Consider the following 21868-nt stretch of genomic DNA (forward strand, 5'->3'; position numbering starts at 1 on the left):
CAGCGAGCAAGCGGACAGGTCCCAGAGAGTCTCAGCAGGACAGCGAGCAAGCGGACAGGTCCCAGAGAGTCTCAGCAGGACAGCGAGCAAGGGGACAGGTCCCAGAGAGTCTCAGCAGGACAGCGAGCAAGGGGACAGGTCCCAGAGAGTCTCAGCAGGACAGCGAGCAAGCCGACAGGTCCCAGAGAGTCTCAGCAGGACAGCGAGCAAGCGGACAGGTCCCAGAGAGTCTCAGCAGGATGGCGAGCAAGAGGACAGGTCCCAGAGAGTCTCAGCAGGACAGCGAGCAAGCGGACAGGTCCCAGAGAGTCTCAGCAGGACGGCGAGCAAGAGGACAGGTCGCCTGGCCACCCTGTTCCTGGGCTGGTGGCACTAGCTGTGCCCAGTGACCCCTGAGGGCCTCGCGCTCCTAATGGCAGCAGACAACCACACAGCGTAGAGGCGTTTGTCCTGCAGGGTTTCTCTGAAGACCTTCCACTCCAGGGCTGCTGCTTTGCTTTTTTCCTCCTTTACCTGATGGCACTTGTAGGAAACATCCTCATGGTCATGGCCATCAGTCTGAATCCAGGCCTCCACACGCCAGTGTACTTCTTTCTCACCAACCTGGCCCTTTTAGACATCGTCTGCACATCCATGGACAACAGCAGAGTGGTGGCTGTGCTGTACACAGTGGTCAGCCCCACCCTGAACCCCTCACCTACTCCCTGCGGAACAAGGACTTATCAGTAGCACTGAGGAGAGTGTTTTCTTGCATCAGGTAAAAGGAAGGGAAGTTTCTAGTGTGAAATGTTCCAGGTGTTAACAAACTAATTTCAACATATGACTTTGAGAATCTCATGCAAGCAGCAAGGAACAAGAAAGTAATTAATGCCACATATTTATAAATAATGTGCTCCCGCACGGGGCTGCCATCATTCAATGTGGAACTCCCAACATCCCAAGGCTGTATGGGTAGGTGCAGTCAGGGCTACAAGGCAGCAGGGAGCTAAGGGAGGGCCAGCGGCTAGTTGAGCAGGAGCCCAAAAGGGCCACTTAACACCCTCCGACACCCCATGCACCTGCTTGACTCCCTTTCACTGGCAACTGGGTCCCAGGAGCAATGTGGGAGCATTCACCTTGGGGGTGCCGCTGGCCGTGTCTTCGTTTAGTCAGGGGTTCTTGCCCGGGGATGGGTCGAGAGTCACATATGCCCACTGTGCACACTGCCTGGTCTATGTTGACGGGGTGGGGGCATTTCTTGATATCCTGCTTTGGAGAAAATCACCCAAACCCCGACTCTCCAACCCAACTCCTCTTGGTGTGAGGTCAAGGAAAACATGAGAAATGCTCTCCTCCCTGTGTGAGGTTTCGTGGTCCTGGCACCATAAAGGGTGAGAGATGGGGTTATCCAGCCTTTCTTTTTAATGACCTGCAGGAAATACATGGGGCTTTACTGATTTACTTCCTTTCAGAGAAGGGCATTCTCATTCTTTAATTTATGCACCAATCACCTACATTCTGTCATTAACTTATTATCTTTGTTTAATTGATTATCCTTGTGTCCATCACCAATCCATCTATTTTATGCATTTCAAAGCCAGTTGCAAACATCATTTCACTTCTTAAATACTTCTGCGTGCATATCATTAAACATTTGTTTATAGTTATTTTTCCTTTTAAGGTAATATTTTCAAACAACAAAATGCATAAATAAGGGTGTACGTTTGCTGAGTAATGTAATTATCAAATCAGGTGCCCATGTGTGATGATCAAATCGGGTACCCGTGTGTGATGATCAGATCCTTCTGTCTAATTGTATGTTTGTACCCCTTAACAACCTCTGTTCATCCCCTTCCCCCACACTCTTCCCAGCATCTGGTAACTATCATTTTACCCTCTACCTCCATGAGATCAACTTTTTAAGCTCCCACATGTGAGTGAGAACATGCAATATTTGTCTTTCTATGGCCAGCTTATTTCACTTGTCATAATGACCTCCAGTTCCATCCATGTTGCTGCACATGATAAGATTTCATTCTTTTTTATGGCTGAATAGTATTCCATTGTGTATATATACCACATTTTCCTTATCCCTTCATTCATTGATGGACACTTAGGTTGATTCCATATCTTGGCTATTGTGAATAGTGCTGCAATAAACATGGGGGTACAGGTATCCCTTTGATATACTGATTTCTTTTCCTTTGGATAAATACCCAGTGGGATTGCTGGTTCATATGGTAGTTCTATTTTTAGTTTTTGAGAAACCTCCATACTGTTTGCCATGATGGCTGTACTAATTTACATATCCACTAACAGTGCACGAGAGTTCCCTTTTATCTGCGCTCTTGCCGCCATTTGTTATTTTTTTGTCTTTTTGATAATAACCGTCCTAACTGGGATGAGATGACATCTCATTGTGGTTTTGATTTGTGTCTCCCTGATGATTCTTGATGTTGAGCATTTTTTTTACATACCTGTTGTCTATTTGCATGTCTTCTTTTGAGAAATGTCTATTCAGATCATTTGCCCATTTTTAAATCTTTTTTTTTCTGTTGAGATGTTGCAGCTTCTTTTATATTCTGGATATTAATCACTTCTTGGATGATTGGTTTGCAGATATTTTCTCCCATTCTATAGGTTGTCTCACCACTCTTTTGATTGTTTCCTTCACCATGTAAAAATCTTTTAGTTTGATATAACACTATTTGTTAATTTTTGCTTTTGTTGCTTGTGATTTCAAGGTCTTATTCATAAAATCTTTTTTTTCAGACCAATGTTCTGAAGCATTTACCCTATGTTTTCTTCTAGCAGTTTTATAGTTTTGGGTCTTACATTTAGATCTTTGATTCATTTTGAGTTGATTTTTGTATAGAGTAGAAAGGGGTCTAGTTTTATTCTTCTGCATGTGAATATCTAGTTTTCCCAGTACCATTTATTAAAGAAGCTGTCCTTTCCTCAGTGAATATTCTTGGCACCTTTGTCAAAAATCAGTTGGCTGTAGATATGTGGATTAATTTCTGGGTTCTCCATTCTGTTCCATTGGTCTATGTGTCTGTTTTTATGCCAGTACCATGCCATTGCTGTTTTGGTTACTGCAGCTTTGTAGTATATTTTGAGGTCTGCTAATGTGATGATAGCTTCAGCTTTGTTCCTTTTGCTCAGGATTGCTTTGGCTATTCGGGATATTTTGTGATTCCATACAAATTTTATGATTTTTTTTCTAGTTCTGTAGGAATGTCATTGGTATTTTGGTAGAGATAGCACTGAATCTGTAGATTGCCTTGGGTAGTATTGTCATTCTCCTATCCATAAGCATGAGATATCTCTCTATTTGTATCCTCTTCAATTTTGTTATCAATATTTTGTAGTTTTCCCTGTAGAGATCTTTTACTTCCTTGGCTAAATTTGTTCCTAGGCACTGTTTTTTTGTATCTATTGTAAATGGGATTGCTTTCTTGATTTCTTTTTCAGCTAGTTCATTGTTCATGTGCCTTAATCCATTTGTGTTGCTATAAAGGAATACCTGAGGTTGGGTAATTTATGAAGAAATTAGGTTTATTTGGCTCACAGTTCTGCAGGCTGTAACAGAAGCATGGCACTAGCATATGCTTCTGGTGAGGGCCTCAAAGCTTCCACTCATGGAAGAAGGCAAGACGGAGCTGCCTCACATGGTGAGGTGAAGGGAGAGAGAAAGATGGAAGAAAGGTGCCAGGCTTTTAAAATATAATCAGTTCTTGCTCATTACCATGAAGATGGCACCAAGACATTCATTAGGGATCTGCTCCCATGCTCCAAATACCTGCCATTAGGCCCCACCTCCAACATTGGGGAACAAATTTCAACATGAGATTTGGAGGGGACAAATATCTAAACTGTATTGTCACGTATAGAAATGCTACTGATTTTTGTATATTAGAATCCTGCAACTTTACTAAATTTATCAGTACTAAGAGTTAGAACTTTCTTTTCCTCTAAGCACTGAAACAAGGATGCCCCCCCGACTTTTCTTCATTCAATAAGCTGTTAACTGTGGGTTTGTCATATATATTTATTATGTTGAGTTACTTTGATTATATATTTAATTTATTAAGAGTTTTTATCATGAAGGAGATGTTGAATTTTATCAAAACATTTTTCTGCATCTATTGAGATGATCATGTTTTTTTCCCTTCATTCTACTGATGTATGTATGATGTTTGTTGATTTGTGTAGGTTGAACTATCCTTGCATTCCTGGGATAAAGCCCACTTGAGCATGGTTATTGTTTTTTGATGTGTTGTTTAATTCAGTTTGCTAGTATTTTGTTGAGGATTTTTGCATCTATGTACACAAGAGATATTGGCCTGTAGTTTTCTTTTTGCTGTTGTTATGTCCTTGTCTGGTTTTGGTATCAAAGTTATTCTGGTCTTGAAGAATGAGTTAGGAAGAATTCCCTCTGCTTTAATTTTTTGGAATAGTTTAAGAGGAAGCAGTATTAATTATTCTTTAAAAATTCTATAGGATTCAGCAGTGAAGCCATCCAGTACTGGACTTTTCTTTGTTGAAGGACTTTTTATTACTGATTCAATCTTGTTACTTGTCTTGGTCTGTTCAGGTTTTCTATTTCTTCTTGGTTTAATCTTGGTAAGTTGTACATGTCCAGAAATTTATCAGTCTCTACAGTTGTTCATAGCAGTCTCTAATGATCCTTGATAGTTCTGTGATATCCATTGTGATTTCTTCTTTTTCGTTGCTGCTGTTATTTATTTGAGACTTCTCTTTTCTTAATGTTAGTCTAGGTAACGGTTTATCAACTTTTTCTTTTCAAAAAACCAGCTTTTCATTTTTTGTTATTTTGTATTGTGTTTTTGTTTAATTTTATTTCTGCTCTGATCTTTACTATTTCTTTTCTTCTACTAATTTTGGGTTTGGTTTGTTCTTGCTTTCCTAGTTCCTTGAGGTGCATTATTAAGTCATTTATTTTCTTTCTAGTTTTTTTTTTTAACGTAGGCATTTATTGCTGTAAACTTGCCTCTTAATACTGCTTTTCCGTTGTGTTTCTATTTTCATTTGTTTCAAGAAGTATTAAAATTTCATTCTTAATTTCTTCCTTCACCCATTGTTTGTTCAGGATTATGCTGCTTAATTTCCATGTATTTTCATAGTTTTGAATGTTTTTCTTGTTATTGATTTTTAGTTTTATTCCATTGTGATCAGATAAGATATTTGATATAATTTTGATTTAAAACATTTGTTGAGACCTGTTTTGTATCCTAGTATATGACCAGTCCTGGAGAATGCTCCATGTAGTGATGAAAAGAATGTGTTTTATGTAGCTGTTGGGTGAACTGTTCTGTAAAGGTTTATTAGACCCATTTGTTCTATGGTGCAATTTAGAGCCAATGTTTCTTTGTTGATTTTCTGTCTAGATGATCTGTCCAGTGCAGAGAGTGGGGTGCTGAAGTCCCCAACTATTATTGTAGTGGGGTCTACCTCTCCCTTTAGATCCAATGATATTTGCTCTATATATCTGGGTGCTCTAGTGTTGGGTGCATATATATTTAAAATTGTTATGTTCTCTTGATGAGCTGATCCCTTTATTATTATATAATGTCCTTCTTTGTCTCTTTTTACAGTTTTTAGCTTGAAATCTGTACTTTCTGATATAAATACAGGTACTCCTGCTTGTTTTTTTTGTTGTTTGTTTGTTTTTTGTTTTGACGGAGCCTCATTCTGTTGCCCAGGCTGGAGTGCAGAGGCACTCTCTCGGTTCACTGCAACCTCTTCCTCCCAGGTTCAACTGATTCTTCTGCCTCAGCCTCCTGAGTAGCTGGGATTACAGGTGTGTGCCACCATGCCCAGCTAATTTTTATTTTTGTATTTTCAGTAGAGATGGGGTTTCACCATATTGGCCAGGCTGGTCTGGAACTCCTAACCTCGTGATCTGCCTGCCTCGGCCTCCCAGAGTGCTGGATATATGGATGTGAGCCACCGTCTCTGGCACTTTTGGTTTTCATTTGCATGAAATATCTTTTTCCATTCCTTTCTTCACTTTCAGTCTTTGTGTGTCTTTATAGGTAAGGCAGCGCATATAGTTGGGCCTTTTTTTTTTTTTGTCCTTCAGCCAGTCTCTAGCTTTTAAATGGGCAATTTAATCTATTTACATTCAAAGTTATTACTGATAGGTGGCAACTTACTCCTGTTATTTTATTGATTGCTTTCTGGTTGCTTTGTATATTCTTTGGTCCTTGCTTCATCTGTTATTATTTATTTTTGCAGTTGGGTGGTTTTCTGTAGTGATAAGGCTTGATTCCTTTATCTTTCCCCTTTGTTATATCAGTTAGTTTTATAGTTTTGCATGTTTTCATGATGGGTTATTGTCTTTTCACTTCCAAATGTAAGGCTCCCTTGAGCATTTCCTGTAAGACTGCTTTAGTGGTGATGAATTCCCTCAATTTTTCCTTCTCAAGAAAAATTGTTTCTCCTCCATTCTTGAAGGATAGATTTGCTGGATATAATATTCTTGGTTGACAGGTTTTTAAAAATTTATTTCAGTACTTTGAATATATCATCTCATTCTCTTCTGACCTGTAAGGTTTCTGCTGAGAAATCTGCTGTTAATCAAACTGGGATTCCCTTATATCTGAATTGATGCTTTTCTCCTGCTACTTTAAAAATTCTTTATGTTTGACTTTTGACAGTTTGACTATAATGTGCCTTGGAGAGGACCTGTTTGGGTTGAATCTATTTGGGGTTCTTGGAGCTTCCTGGGCTTGGACATTCATCCCTCTCCCAAGATTTGGGATTTTTCTGCTGTTATTTCATTAAATGTGTTTTCCATTTCCCTTCTTTTCTCCTCCTGGAATGCCCAGAATATTTGTTTGCTTAATGGTGTCCCATAAATCCTGCAGGCTTTCTTTATTCCTTTAAATTATTTTTTGTCTGCCTGTATTATTTCAAAAGACCTATCTTCAAGTACAGAAGTTCTTTCTTCTCCTTTGTTTAATCTGTTGTTGAAGTGCTTGATTGTATATTTTAATTTCATTCATTGAATTCATCAGCTGAGGATTTCCATTTGGCTCTTTTTAATGATATCTACCATTTAGTTAAATTTCTTATTCAAATCATAAATTATTTTCTAATTTCATTGAATGTTGTATCTGTATTCTCTTGTAACTCACTGAGTTTCCTTAAGATTATTATTTTGAATTCTTTTTCTGGCATTTTATATATTTCCTTATGATTGAGATCTGTCATAGGAGAATTATTATTTTTCTTTGGAGGTGACATGTTTCTTTGCGTTTTCAAGGTTAATGTGTTGAGGTGTCTCTATGTTGATTTCTATACATCTGGTGGGAAAAAAAATCACCTCTTTTGCTTGTATGGAGTAAGTTTTGAAGCAAAAGACTCATTCATGTGAATGGGCCTCAGGGCATCAGTTCAGTGGGGTGCATTGCCCTGGGCTCTAGATGGATGCAGTAATGTAGTCTCTGTGTAGTCTTTTCAGCTGTAATCTACATTAGTGGTGTTTCAAGTTTCTCAGTGGCCTAGTCTGAGAGAGTCTGTGGCACTGGCGGTGCAGCTTTCCCTCTCCTTTTTAAAGAGCTTGTGTACTTAGGTCAGGCTTACCAGGCTGTTTCTCAGGTTGGGATGTGTGTGCATATGCACAATGGGCTGGTCAACTTGAGGTCTGGCTCCCTGGGGTTGGGGCCACTGGGCTGTTACTCTGGCCAGGAGCATGAGCATAGATATTTGGCCAGCTTATGGGCATGCTCACCATGGGTGGCTGACAGGGCTGTTTCTCAGGCCTGGTATGCAGGCACAGGGCTGCTTGACTGGCCTGGGGGTGTGTCTGCTGCAGGCAGCCCATGGGACTATTTCTCAGACCCAGGACACAGCTGCATGACTGCTCAGCTGGCCTGAGTGTGTGTCTGCTGGGGGTGGGCCACCAGGCTGTTTCTTGGACCTGGGATGTGGGTGTACATCTGCTCAGCTGGACTGGGGATTTGCCCACCAGGGTTGGCCAGCTGAGCTGCTTTTCAGTCCCAGGGCACACAACTGCTTGGTTATTCTGGGGGTGTTTTGCAAATGGCAGCCCCTAGAGCAGTTTCTCAGCCACTGATTGTGGACACAGGGCCATTGGACAAGTCAGGGCCTTGTCTGCAGGGAATAGGGCACCTCAAAACTGTTACTCAGACCCTGAATATAGGCACATAGCCACTCCACTGGCCTGGAAGTGTGTCAGCTACTCAGAGGCTTGAGGGCCTCTCCGACTTGGAGGAGGGCATGCAGCAGTGTGGCTGGCTCAAGGGCAGTTTTGCCCTGGGTGGGACTGCCAGACTTTTCCTCTGTCTGGAAGTGAGGGTGGTAGGAGTTGGTTTTTCTGCTCTCCAGGGTCACAGCCAATCCTGGGCCCAGGCTTCATGCTGCCAGCATTGTGGTGCTCGGCCACCAGTGTGGGCTTGGTGGAACAAAGACAGAGCTCCAGTGCTGGAAAGGTGCAGTGGATACTGGCCTCCAGAATAGGGTGCACTCCAGACATGACTCTGGTCTCAAGATGGTGCCCTGCTGCAGCAGACTGGCTTACAGGGGATAGTTGGGGGATGGGGAGTGCACATATTGTGCTCCTAATCTAGGGCAATGAAGCTGTGTGAATGCCCTGCAGCTCTCCAAACTGGGTGACGGTGGGATTCTCCTGTTGTAAGGACTTTAGGTGTTTGCAGTGGCAATCAGGGATGGTGGGGATCTTTTGTTTATCTGCAATAAGTGACTCCTGACATTAGGCAGTTCTGATCTTGATGAGGGACAAGGGGTTTCAGAGGCCAAGTGCTTCCACACTGCCCTCCTGGACTTCTAATCACCACAGGTGCATTTCCACTCCTCTTTTGCATACCAGCACTCTTCCTTCAACACTCCAGTCAACACTGAGCTGTTTATTTTTTGCTTTGGTTCCTTCTTGTCTGGGGTGGCGGGTGGGGAGGAGATGAATACCAGGCATCTCTAGTCAGCTATCTTATTCCCAAGCTTAGAGGCTCTCTAATGCTAGGTCACATAGGCAGGCCTCCTTTATGGCTCTAGGTGGTACCTTAAAAACAAGCTCCCCTTGGCTCTAGTAAATGGTTAGAGCACTGCTCTTCTCGAGTTAGAGGTGGGGAAGTCCCAAAGGGATATCCCAGTAGTGTGGGAAGGCTGGCTAGGGGTTTGTACCCAGGGGACCTGTGGGATGAAACTCCTACAGCATGGTGCTGCTGAACATCCACTGTAATTTGCATCTTCTGTGGCTGAGTTTCAGAGCAGAGTTTCCAGGGCTGGAGGTGGTAGTCCCACCTCCCCACTTTGTCTCTGCCTGTCTTCAGGGATACTTCTTGATGCTTCCCATGGGCTAAGGTAGGGACGGTTCTCCTGCCAGGGAACCCAAAATGGTGGGGAAGCTGTTTGTCTCCTCCATTTTGCTTTTCTCAGTGTAGAAACAATGAGTTGGGGAAATTTTTCAACACATGTGGTGCCAGGCAGAATGGGGGAGGGGGCATTGCAAATGTGGGTGTCTAGTTCTCTTACCAACTACTCAGAGTGTTTTCACTTCTCTGTGGGCCTGGAAGTGGTCTCATCTTTTTATTTGAGTTCTGGGATATTTCTGGTGATAATCTTTGTTTTTGGTTTTCTGTGGGAGAGAGTGAAACCAGTTTGCTTCTATTCTACATTGCCTTTTGAAACTAGAAAAAAAACCTCTCTTTTTTGAAGAGCTTGTGTGCTTAGGTCAGGCTTACCAGGAAAATCTCACTGTCTTAAGGTTAACTATGCCATGTAATGTAACATAATCACATGTATGTTAAAAGTGCTACTTGAATTAATAAGTGAGTTTATCAAGGTCATATAAAGTAAAACATACAAAAATAAATAGTGTTTTATGTACTAATAACAAGGATTGGAAATTGCAATCAAATAAACACCATTTGCAATTGCATCAAAGGCATGAAATAAGGATAAATTTAGCAAAATGTGTTTAAGACTTAAGTACTATGATCACAGCATTGTTGCTAAAACTCAAGGGAGATAAAAATAAGTGGAGATACACGCTATGATTGCAGAGTCAATATTGATAATATTTCAGTTCTTCCAAAATTGAACTAGTACCTAGAAATTGACATTTGATTTTAAATTTTATATGGTTATTCAAATGTCATATAGTATTTTACACAATTTTGAAGAACAAGAAAGAACATAATTAGGGAAATAAAATGACTTGATTTGAACATTTACTTTAAAGCTATTATTTAAAGACAGTCTGCTATTGATATAAGGATAAATATGTAAGGATAAATATTCAGAAATGAATAAACCTATACCTAAATGGTCAATTGATCTTTAACGAAGGATCAATACAGTTTAATCTAATCAGGGAAAAGATAGTCTTTTTTTTTTTTTTTAATGGAGTCTTGCTCTGTCACCTAGGCTGAAGTACAGTGGTGTGATCTCGGCTCACGGCAACCTCTGTCTCCCAGGTTCAAGCAATTCTTATGCCTCAGCCTCCAGAGTAGCTAGGATTACAGGTATGTATCACCATGCCCAGCTAATTTTTGTATTTTTAGTAGAGACAGGGTTTCACATGTTGGCCATGCTGGTCTTGAACTCCTGACCTCACGTGATCTGCCCACCTCGGCCTCCCAAAGTGCTGGGTTTACAGGCATGAGCCTCCATGCCCAGCCAAAAGATAATCTTTTCAAAAATGGTGTTGAAACAACTGGTTACTTATATATAGAAAAGAAATAACTGGTTATGTATATAGAAAAGAATGAACCATAATCCCTCCCTCAAACCATATATGAACATTAAACAGATCATATACCAAAACAGTAAAGCTAAACTAAAAGCTACTAGAAAAAATATGCAACTTTTGGGTATACAAAAATTTTGTAGGTAGTACACACACAAAAAGCACAAACCACCAAAGAAAATAATTTACAAAGTAGGCTTTATAAAAATTAGAAACCTCTGCTTTTTGAAAGACATAGATAAGAAAATGAAAAGGCAAACCACAAACCTGGAGAAAATATTCATAACATATATATTAGACAAAAGTTGTATTTCCATATTATATAAATAATTCTAAAAATTCAATAATAGGGAGACAATCAACCTAATTGTTTTTTAAAATGGTTAACTGATACAAACAGACCCTACATAAAAGAACTTATATGCATAGCCAATCAGCATGTGAAAAGATGTTCAACGTCATTAGTCATCAAGGAACTAGAAATTATAAGCAAAATGGGATACCATTAGAGACCCACTAACATTAAAGAAACTGACAATTTCAAGTGTTGGAAACAATGTAGAACAACTGCAACAACCGTAAATTTCTGGTGGAAATGTAAAATGGCAAAACTACTTTGGGGAAAAAATGGCTTTTTTTAGAAAGTTGAACGTATACTCCTAGGGATTTATATAAGAGCTTGAAAAACATATATCAACACAAAGGCCTATGTATTTATGCTTACCCCAACTTTATCCAAATTAATCTAAAGCTAAAATTAAGACAAATATCCATCAATAGATGATGGACAAAACAATTGTGATATATCTATATAATGGAATAGGATTTAGCAATCTATATAATGGAGTATAATTATATGAATGTGATACATCTATATAATGGAATAGGACTTAGCATGCATTCATCCATGCACCAACATGGATGAATCTGAAAAGTGTTTAGATTAGCAAAAGAAGATAGATACAAAATAAGTTCATATTGTATAATTCCATTTATATAAAACTGCACAATAAGAGAACTAATGTAAAGTGAGAGAATAGTGATTGCTTGGGGCTGAGATGAAGGATTTGTATCAAAAGGGCAGAGAAGAGCTTGTTAGGGTAATTGAAACGTTCTGTATCATGATGTGGAGGTGTTTACATGGGTGTATAAGCTTTTGAGAACTTATCAAATTATACACAAATATGTACATTTTATTATATGGAAATTATATCTCATTAAAGTTGATACAAAACAAGAATCCAGAACTCTATTTTGACATCTGGTGGACATCGCTCCAATCATGATTCCATGTCTCTCTGCATATACAGAAAGAAAGTTAAATTTGTATAGCTAGAGAACTGCTTAGATTAGGTTGAAAGATAAAATTTTATGAGAATATCATATATGTTTTAAAAGCAAGTTTTAGCTATATTTACTAATAAAAAGAAAGGAAACTGATGAAGCTAAAGAAGTTCAGGAAAATATTTCTCATAAAGATTAGTTTCCAAGAAACTACATTACTACATATCCTCACCCTGTGAGGGCACAAAACGCCCTGACAAACCTCATTTCAGTTTTTCCTTCTTGGAGATTAGTCTGTTATTCTTAAATCAGGGGCTTATCAGGGTCTCTGTGTTTCTTCCCAGGGAAAGAGTGGGCATCTAGAATGTGGGAGGTAATACATAATACCTCCAAATCTCCAGGGCGTATTTATTTCTTCAGACATCATGCTTACTGCCCCCCACTTTTTTTTTTTTTTAGAAAGAAAGAACAAAAAAGAGAAGGAGAGTAAATTCTTGTTTCCAAGTTAGACAAGAGAGTTATGATTAAATGCCACCTTGGGTCCACAAGTCTTCCATAAGAAAAACAATGAAAGGATTTCTGGATGATTCTATTATGACATCACAACTTGCAGCAGAGGCAGATGTAATGAGGCAATACTTGACATTGTTTTCAGGGCATTTGGTAGGTTCAATGGGAAACAAAACTCTTAAAACCCCTATCTGCTGGCTGGTGCTTAAAGTTTCTATCTCAATTGTCTTAGTCCATTTAGTGTTGCTATAAAGGAATAGCTGGGGCTGGGTAATTTGTAAAGAAAAGAGGTTTATTTGGCTCATGGTTCTGCAGGCTGTACAGGAATCATGGTGCCAGCATTTGCATCCGATGATGGCACAGGCTGTTTTCATGCATGGTGGAGGGTGAAGTGGAGCTGGCGTGCAGGGATCACATGGCAAGGCAAGAGGGGAAGTGAGTGAGTGAGTGAGCAAGACAAAGAGGGGAAGTGTATTAGTCCATTTTCATGCTGCTGATAAAGACATACCTGAGACTAGGCAATTTACAAAAGAAAGAGGTTTAACTGGACTTACAGTTCCACGTGGCTGGGGAAGGTCTCAGAATCATGGTGGAGGGCGAAAGGCACTTCTTACATGGCAGTGGCAAGAGAGAATGAGGAGGGAGCAAAAGCAGAAACCCGTGATAAACCCATCAGATCTTGTGAGACTTTTTCACTACCATGAGAATAGCACAGGAAAGACCAGCCCCTATGATTCAATTACCTCCCACTGGGTCCCTCCCACAAAACATGGGAATTCTGGGAGATATAATTCAAGTTGAGATTTGGGTGGGGGCACAGGCAAACCATATCATTCCACTCCTGGCCCCTCCCAAATCTCATGTTCTCACATTTCATAATCAATCATGCCTTCCCAACAGTCCCCCAAAGCCTTAACTCATTTCAGCATTAACTCAAAAGTCCACAGTCCAATGTCTCATCTGAGACAAGAAAACTCCCTTCTGCTTACAACCCTGTAAAATCAAAAGCAAGTTAGTTACTTCCTAGATACAATGTGGGTACAGGCATTGGGCAAAAACAGCCATTCCAAATGGGAGGAATTGGCCAAAACAAAGGGGCTACAGGCCCCATGCAAGTCCAAAATCCATCAGGGCAGTTAAATCTTAAAGTTCCAAAATTATTTCCTTTGACTCCACATCTCGCATCCAGGTCACACTGATGCAAGAAGTGGGTTCCCATGGTCTTGGGCAGCTCCGCCCCTTGGCTTTGCAGGATACAGCCTCCCTCCCGGCTGTTTTTATGGGCTGGTGTTGAGTGTCTGTGGCTTTTCCAGGCACACAGTGCAAGCTATCAGTGGATCTATCATCCTGGGGTCTGGAGGATGGTGGCCCTCTTCTCACAGCTCCAATAGGTGGTTACCCCATTAGGGATTCTGTTTGGGGGCTCTGACCCCACATTTCCCTTCTGCACTGCTGTGGCAGAGGTTCTCTATGAAGGCCTTGCGCTTGCAACAAACTTTTGCCTGGGCATCCAGGCATTTCCATACATCTTCTGAAATCTAGGCGGAGGTGCCCAAACCTCAATTCTTGACTTCTGTGTACCCACAGGCTCAACACCATGTGGAAGGTGCTAAGGCTTAGGGCTTGCACCCTCTGAAGCCATGGCTGGAGCTTTACCTTGGTCCCTTTTAGTCATGGCTAGGGGCAGCTGGGACACAGGACACCAAGTCCCTTGGCTGTACACAGCATGGGGACCCTGGGCCTAGCCCAGGAAGCCATTTTTATCTTGTACACCTCCAGGCCTGTGATGAGAAGGGCTGCTGTGAAGACCTCTGACATGCCCTGGAGAGGCATGTCTTTTCCCCATTGTCTTGTGAGTTAACATTCTGCTCCTCGTTACTTATGCAAATTTCTGCAGCTGGCTTAAATTTCTCCCCAGAAAATGGGATTTTCTTTTTCTATTGCATTGTCAGGCTGCAAATTTTCCAAACTTCTATGCTGTGCTTTCCTTATAAAATGGGATGCCTTTAACAGCACCTGAATCACCTCTTGAATGTTTGCTGCTTAGAAATTTCTTCCACCTGATACCCTAAATCATCTCTCTCTGGTTCAAAGTTCCACAGGTCTGTAGGGCAGGGGAAAAATGCTGCCAGTCCCTTTGTTAAACATAACAAGAGTCACCTTTGCTCCACTTCCCAACAAGTTCCTAATTTCCATTTGAGATCACCTCAGCCTGGACTTTATTGTCCATATTGCTATCAGCATTTTGGGCAAAGTCTCTAGGAAGTTCCAAACTTTCCCACATTTTCTTATCTTCTTCTGAGCCCTCCAAATTGTTCCAACCTCTGCCTGTTACCCAATTCCAAAGTCAATTCCACATTTTTGGGTATCTTTTCAGCAACACAACAGCCCACTCCTGGTACCAAAATCTGTATTAGTCAGGGTTCTCTAGAGGGACAGAACTAATAGGATAAATATTATATATGTATATATATATGTATATATGTAAATGGGAGTTTATTAAATATTAACTAACATGATCACGAGGTCCCCACAATAGGCTGTCTGCAAGCTGAGGACCAAGGAGAGCCAGTCCAAGTCCCAAAACTGAAGAACTTGGAGTCTGATGTTTGAGGGCAGGAAGCATCCAGCATGGGAGAAAAATGTAGGCTGGAAGGCTAAGCCAGTCTTGCCTTTTCATGTTTTTCTGCCTGCTTTATATTTGCTGGAAGCTCATTAGATGGTGTCCACCTGATTAAGGGTGGGTCTGCCTTCCCCAGCCCACTGACTCAAATCTCCTTTGGCAACACCCACACAGACTCACCTAGGGTTAATACTTTTTACAGTCCTTATTTCTGCAGCTGGTCATGTGGTCGTAGCTGGTATTGATGACTACCTTCTTCTATCACCCACTGTGTATTCCCTTTGCCTTCTGCAAGCACCTCATCAGATCAAGGTTTTTTTCCTGGTGGAGTGACTTAAACCTTCATTCCTGAAGGGTCTGGACCATTTGTAGTCCTCCCTGGATTGGGCTGTTGTAGTTTCTCATTGACCTTAATCACAGGGCATGGTAATACTAAGTGACATCCTAATGGATCTCCTGTATTCCATGCATGCTCCTCCTTACCTCTGTTATGGAGTAGTAGACTGATTTCATCTTGATAGTCTGGGTCAATCAACCTAGCCAACACTGTAACTCCCTTCTTAGCCTGTTTACTTAAAGGTAGGAGGAGCCCGAAGTGTCCAGGTGACAATCTTAACTTTCAGTTTAATGGAATTGTTGTTGTGTCTCCTGGTGGCAGTGTTACTCCCTCTGGAACTAAGATCTCTAGGCTAGCAGAACGTAATGTTGCAGGAACAGGAAGCAAAAATTTTGCTACTGGATCATTAGGGGTGATGGTGAGTGGTGCCACTTCCACTTCCACCCCTTGATTCCTGGACCCGTGAATCCTGGCTATGGGAGAAACAGTACCATATATCAGATGCTGATCCAGTGCATACACAGCCTTCTAGAGTACTTTGCCCCAGCCCTGCAAAGTATTGTCATCTAATTGACATGGTAATTGTAGGGTCCAGCCCCACAGGGTTGGTGCATTTTCTCCTTCTGTGTGGAGACGAGAGAGCGTAGAAATAAAAACACAAGACAAAGAGATAAAAGAAAAGACAGCTGGGCCCGGGGGACCACTACCACCAAGATGCGGAGACTGGTAGTGGCCCCGAATGCCAGGCTGCACTGATATTTATTGGATACAAGACAAAGGGGCAGGATAAGGAGTGTGGGCCATCTCCAATGATAGGGAAGGCCACATGGATCACATGTCCCCTGGACAGGGGGCCCTTTCCTGCCTGGCAGCCGAGGCAGAGAGAGAGAGGAGAAAGAGAAACAGCTTACACCATTATTTCTGCTTATCAGAGACTTTTAGTACTTTCACTAATTTGCTACTGCTAACTAAACGGCAGAACCAGGTGTACAAGATGGAACATGAAGGCAGACTAGGAGTGTGACCACTGAAGCACAGCATCACAGGGAGACGGTTAGGCCTCCGAATAACTGTGGGTGGGCCTGACTAATGTCAGGCCTTCCACAAGAGGTGGAGGAGTAGAGTCTTCTCTAAACTCCCCTGGGGAAAGGGAGACTCTCTTTCCCGGTCTGCTAAGTAGCGGGTGTTTTTCCTTGACACTAACGCTACTGCTAGACCACGGTCTGCTTGGCAATGGGCATCTTCCCAGATGCTGGCGTTACCGCTAGACCAAGGAGCCCTCTGGTGGCCCTGTCTGGGCATAACAGAAGGCTCACACTCTTGTCTTCTGGTCACTTCTCACTATGTCCCTTCAGCTCCTATCTCTGTATGGCCTGGTTTTTCCTAGTTTATGATTATAGAGTGAGGATTATTATAATATTGGAATAAAGAGTAATTGCTACTAATGATTAATGATATTCATATATAATCATATCTAAGATCTATCTCTGGTATAACTATTCTTATTTTATATTTTATTATACTGGAACAGCTCGTGTCCTCGGTCTCTTGCCTTGGCACCTGGGTGGCTTGCCACCCACAGCAATTGTGACTTTGAAAGGCCATTCCACCGTTCTATCAATCCAGCTGCTTCAGGATGATGGGCAACGTGGTAAGACCAGTGAATTCCACGAACATGAGCCCACTGCTGCACTTCTATGGCCGTAAAGTGAGTACCTTGGTCAGAGGCAATACTGTGTGGAACACCATGATGGTGGATAAGGCATTCCATGAGTCCACAGATGGTAGTCTTGGTAGAAGTATCGTGTGCAGGATAGGCAAACCGATATCCAGAATAAGTATCTATTCCAGTGAGGACAAATCTCTGCCCTTTCCATGATGGAAGAGGTTCAATATAATCAACCTGCCACCAGGTAGCTGGCTGACCACCCTGAGAAATGGTGCCATATCGAGGAATCAGTGTTGGTCTCTGCTGCTGGCAAATTGGGCACTCAGCAGTGGCCATAGCCAGATCAGCCTTGGTGAGTGGAAGCTCATATTGCTGAGCCCATTCATAACCTCCATCCCTGCCACCATGGCCACTTTGTTCACGGGTCCATTGGGCAATGACAGAGGTGCTTGGGAAAGAGGCTGAATGGTGTCCACAGAAGTGGTCATCCTATCCACTTGATTATTAAAATCCTCCTCTGCTGAGGTCACCCATTGGTGAGCACTCACATGGGATACAAATATCTTCACAGTTTTTGACCACTCAGAGAGGTCCATCCACATACCTCTTCCCCACATTTCTTTGTCACAATTTCCGATCATTCTTCTTTCAAGTCCCTGACCATCCAACCAAACCATTAACTACAGCCCATGAATCAGTATATAATCACACATCTGGCCATTTCTCCTTCCATGCAAAGTGCACAACCAGGTTCACTGCTCTTAGTTCTGCCCACTGGGAAGATTTTCCTTCCCTACTGTCCTTCAGGGATGTCCTAGAAAGGGGCTGTAGTGCTGCAGCTCTCCACTTTTGGGTGGTGCCTGCATATCATGCGGAACCATCCACGAACCAGGCCCAACTAATTATAGGGAACTTCCCATGAGGCCGTTGGGGCAGGCTCGGGGAGAGAAGGAAGGGTGGCAGGAGTGGAGACCATGGGCATTTGAACCACTTCCTCATGTAACTTACTTGTGCCTTCAGGACCTGCTGGAACCTGATCACATATATACCACTTCCATCCTGTGGTCATTTCCCTAGTGCCACTTCCATTTGATGACGGAATGCTGCTGTGCACAACCCACTTAATGGCTAGATGGGTCAGAAAGCACCCAGTTTATGATAGGCAGTTCAGGTCGCGTGGTGACTTGGTGACCTACAGTCAAACGTTCAGTTTCCACCAAAGCCCAGTAACAGGCTAAGAGCTGTCTCTCAAAAGGAGAGTAGTTATCTGCAGAAGATGGCAGGGCCTCGCTCCAAAATCCTAGAGGCCTCCACTGTGATTCACCTATGGGAGCCTGCCAAAGGCTCCAAACAGCATGCCTATCTGCCACTGACACCTCAAGCACCATTGGATATGCTGGGCCATATGGCCCAAGTGGCAGAGCAGCTTGCACAGCAGCCTGGACCTGCTGCAGAGCCTTCTCTTGTTCTGGACTCCACTCAAAACTGACAGCTTTTCAGGTCACTCAATAAATGGGCTGGAGTAACACACCCAAATGAGGAATGTGTTGCCTCCAAAATCCAAATAGGCCCACTAGGCATTGTGCCTCTTTCTTGGTTGTAGGAGGGGCCAAATGCAGCAACTTATCCTTCACCTTAGGAGGAATATCTCTACAGGCCCCATACCACTGGACCCTTAGAAATTTTACTGAGGTAGAAGGTCCCTGAATTTTAGGCAGATACACTTCCCATCCTCTGGCATGCAAATGTTTCACCAATAAGTCCAGTGTTTGCTACTTCTTGCTCACTGGATCCAATCTGCATAATGTCATCAATGTAATGGACCAGTGTGATATCTTTTGGAGGCAAAAAGCGATCAAGTTCTCTCTGAATAAGATTATGACACAAAGCCAGATAATTCATATACCCCTGAGGTAGGACAGTAAAGGTATATTGCTGGCCTTGACAGCTGAAGGCAAATTGTTTCTGGTGGGCCTTATGGACAGGAATGGAGAAAAAGGCATTTGCCAAGTCAATGGTTGCACACAAAGTACCAGGAGATGTGTTAATTTGCTCAAATAATGAAACCACATCTGGTACAGCAGCTGCAATTGGAATCATCACTTGGTTAAGCTTATGGTAATCCACTGTCATTCTCCAAGATCCATCTGTCTTCTGCACAGGCCAAATGGGAGAGTTGAATGGGAATGTGGTGGGAATCACCACCCCTGAGTCTTTCAAGTCCTTGGTGGTGGCACTAATCTCTGCAATCCCTCCAGGGACACAATATTGTTTTTGATTTACTATTTTTCTAGGTAGAGGCAGCTCTAATGGCTTTCATTTGGCCTTTCTCACCACAGTAGCCGTCACCCTACCAGTCAGGGAGCCAATGTGAAGGTTCTGCCAGCTGCTAAGTATGTCTATGCCAATTATGCATTCTCGCACTAGGGAAATGACCACAGGATGAGTCCAGAGACCCACTGGACCCACTGTAAGTCAGACCTGAGCTAAAACTTCATTAATTACCTGACTCCCATAAGCCCCTACTTTAACTGGAGGACCACAATGACGTTTTGGGTCCCCTGGAATCCATGTCAGCTCAGAGCCAGTGTCCAGTAGTCCCTGAAATGTCTGATCATTTCCCTTTCCCCAGCGCACAGTTATCCTGGTAAAAGGCCAGAGGTCTCCTTGGGGAAGGATGGGAGAAAGATTCACTGCATAAATTGCTGGTAATGTAGTAGGGTCCTTCCTAATGGGAACTTGGCTTCCCCTTCATTCAAGTGGTTCTGGATCTGTAAACTGGCTCAAGTCTGGAAATTGATTAAGAGGCCATGATTCTACATTTTTATAATTCAAATTAGTCTTTTATCCATTCGACCTAGAAGTTTTCTGCTTGTATAAATTAAGTAGGAATGCAGTAGGCTTTCTATCAATTTCACTTCTAGGAACACCATGATTAATTAGCCAATGCCAGAGCTCTACACGAGTCAGACTATTCTGATTGCCGCTTTGCCTCTGCTGTCCATTATGATAGCTATGCCCACCTTGCTTTTGATAGCTGAGTGCCACCACTTGGCCCCTGCCACCTCGGGATCCAATTGTTACCATTATATTTAAGTTTTGTAGTTGAGTGACTGTGGCTCCCACCATTAGATCTGACATACAGAGAAAAGCAATTGCAAGGCTCTTCAAAGATTCAGGTGCTGCCCTCACAAATCTATTTTGCAAGGCGTTGGTCAAGGGTGTATCTTCTGGACCCTCCCAGCTGGGATGAGTAGGTCTAAAGTGACTAATCCACTCCACCATCCCAATCTCCCTAAGCCTTTGGATCCCTTCCTCTACATTAAACCAAGGGAGATCAGGCATTTCCACCTCGCTCACAATGAGCCATCTTTTAATCCATATTTCAGCAAACCAATCAAACAAACTATTAGAACCTTTTTTAATTCCCCAAGCTGCAACATTAAAAGCAGAGTTCCTACTTAGTGGGCCCAAATCAATAAATTCAGCCTGATCCAACTCTATATTCCTTCCCCATTATCCTATGCCCTTAATATCCATTCCCATGCCTGTTCTCCAGATTGCTGTTTATATAAATTAGAGAACTGAAGCAGATCTTTTTGAGTGTAGTGCACCTCCTCATGGGTCACACTCTCAACCTCACCTCTAGGTGCCCACCAGGACTTTAATCTAGTTACAGGTCTAGAAGCAAACAGAGGTGTTGGAGGGTAGCTCCTGAGGAGAATCAACATTATCTTGCCTGGCATCTGCCTCAGGGGAGGCCATCACTGTTGTCTCAGGCAGCACAGAGTTTATCTCTTCAGACAAAGGTGGAAAGGCTGATGGCAGCATGGGTCGGGGAGGGGATGTTGCCACTACTGGGGATGGGGAAGCTGTTTCTTCTGGCCAAAAAAGTTCATCAGCATTTATGAACTCAAGTGTCTCCAGCTTCATCAGGGTCCTCCCAAACGTCCCCATTCCAAGTTTGAGGATCTCATTTTTTTCCAGTCAATGCACTCACTTTAACAGTAGACACCTGGTGAGGCTGTGCATGCATCTTTCATTGCAGGTCAGCCACTCAAATGATAAGAGCTTGCATCTGTTTTTCCACAATTTCAGCTCTTTACTGAAAGAGATGAGACTCTCATTCAGGGCAACCTTAGCAGATTTGAGGCTCAGTATCTGCCTCTGAAGCCAGGAGACAGAATCCCTGAGTTCATCATTTGCTTTCATCACTTTGTCCACTGAACTTAGGAGCAACTAACCAGTTTCATTATGTTTCTTGGTTCCCCACATATGGTCAAAGGTATTATGTACAGAGTCACTAACTCCTTGCCTCTCACACGCGGTGGTGAATCAGGAGTGTCAAATGCATTTATTTTGCATAACTTACTAAACAGTTTATGCCAAGGACTAGCAGTGTTTTACATACTATTAGAAGTATAGACCTTAGCATTTTTGCACCTAATCATATTAAGCAGCCAAATCCAGAAACCCAAAAACCAATGAAAGAACTCCATCCTTAATATTCTGTTCCTCTAGAACCATTCCTGGTACCAAAATCTGTATTAATCAGGGTTCTCTAGAGTATATATACACACTATATATACATATAAAGGGAAGTTTATTAAGATTAATTTACATGATCACAAAGTCCCACAATGGGCTATCTGCAAGCTAAGGAGCAAGGAGAGCCAGTCTGAGTCCCAAAACTGGAGAACTTGGAGTCTG

General features: G+C 42.4%; 1 long non-coding RNA gene and 1 pseudogene across 2 annotated transcripts in view, besides 2 other annotated features; one reads left to right on the forward strand and one right to left on the reverse strand.

The window, feature by feature from the left end:
- OR7M1P (olfactory receptor family 7 subfamily M member 1 pseudogene) lies at positions 414 to 963 on the forward strand (annotated as a pseudogene).
- Positions 9640 to 9689: an enhancer, noted in NCBI's record as "active region_4254". NCBI's record gives its function as "activates an Ori minimal core promoter by ATAC-STARR-seq in GM12878 lymphoblastoid cells {active_cell/tissue: GM12878}" and the evidence as "EXISTENCE:reporter gene assay evidence [ECO:0000049][PMID:35858748]".
- LOC105378575 (uncharacterized) overlaps positions 10616 to 21868 on the reverse strand; it is a 35536-nt gene continuing 24283 nt past the window's right edge. For both annotated transcript variants that reach the window (XR_946512.3, XR_007062396.1), the window contains exon 5: positions 10616 to 12033. This is a non-coding gene — a long non-coding RNA (uncharacterized LOC105378575). The remainder of the gene's footprint in view (positions 12034 to 21868) is intronic.
- Positions 16715 to 16794: a silencer, noted in NCBI's record as "silent region_2983". NCBI's record gives its function as "represses an Ori minimal core promoter by ATAC-STARR-seq in GM12878 lymphoblastoid cells {active_cell/tissue: GM12878}" and the evidence as "EXISTENCE:reporter gene assay evidence [ECO:0000049][PMID:35858748]".

The sequence above is a fragment of the Homo sapiens genome, chromosome 10 (genome assembly GCF_000001405.40).
Source record: "Homo sapiens chromosome 10, GRCh38.p14 Primary Assembly".
NCBI classification, from domain to species: Eukaryota; Metazoa; Chordata; class Mammalia; order Primates; family Hominidae; genus Homo; species Homo sapiens.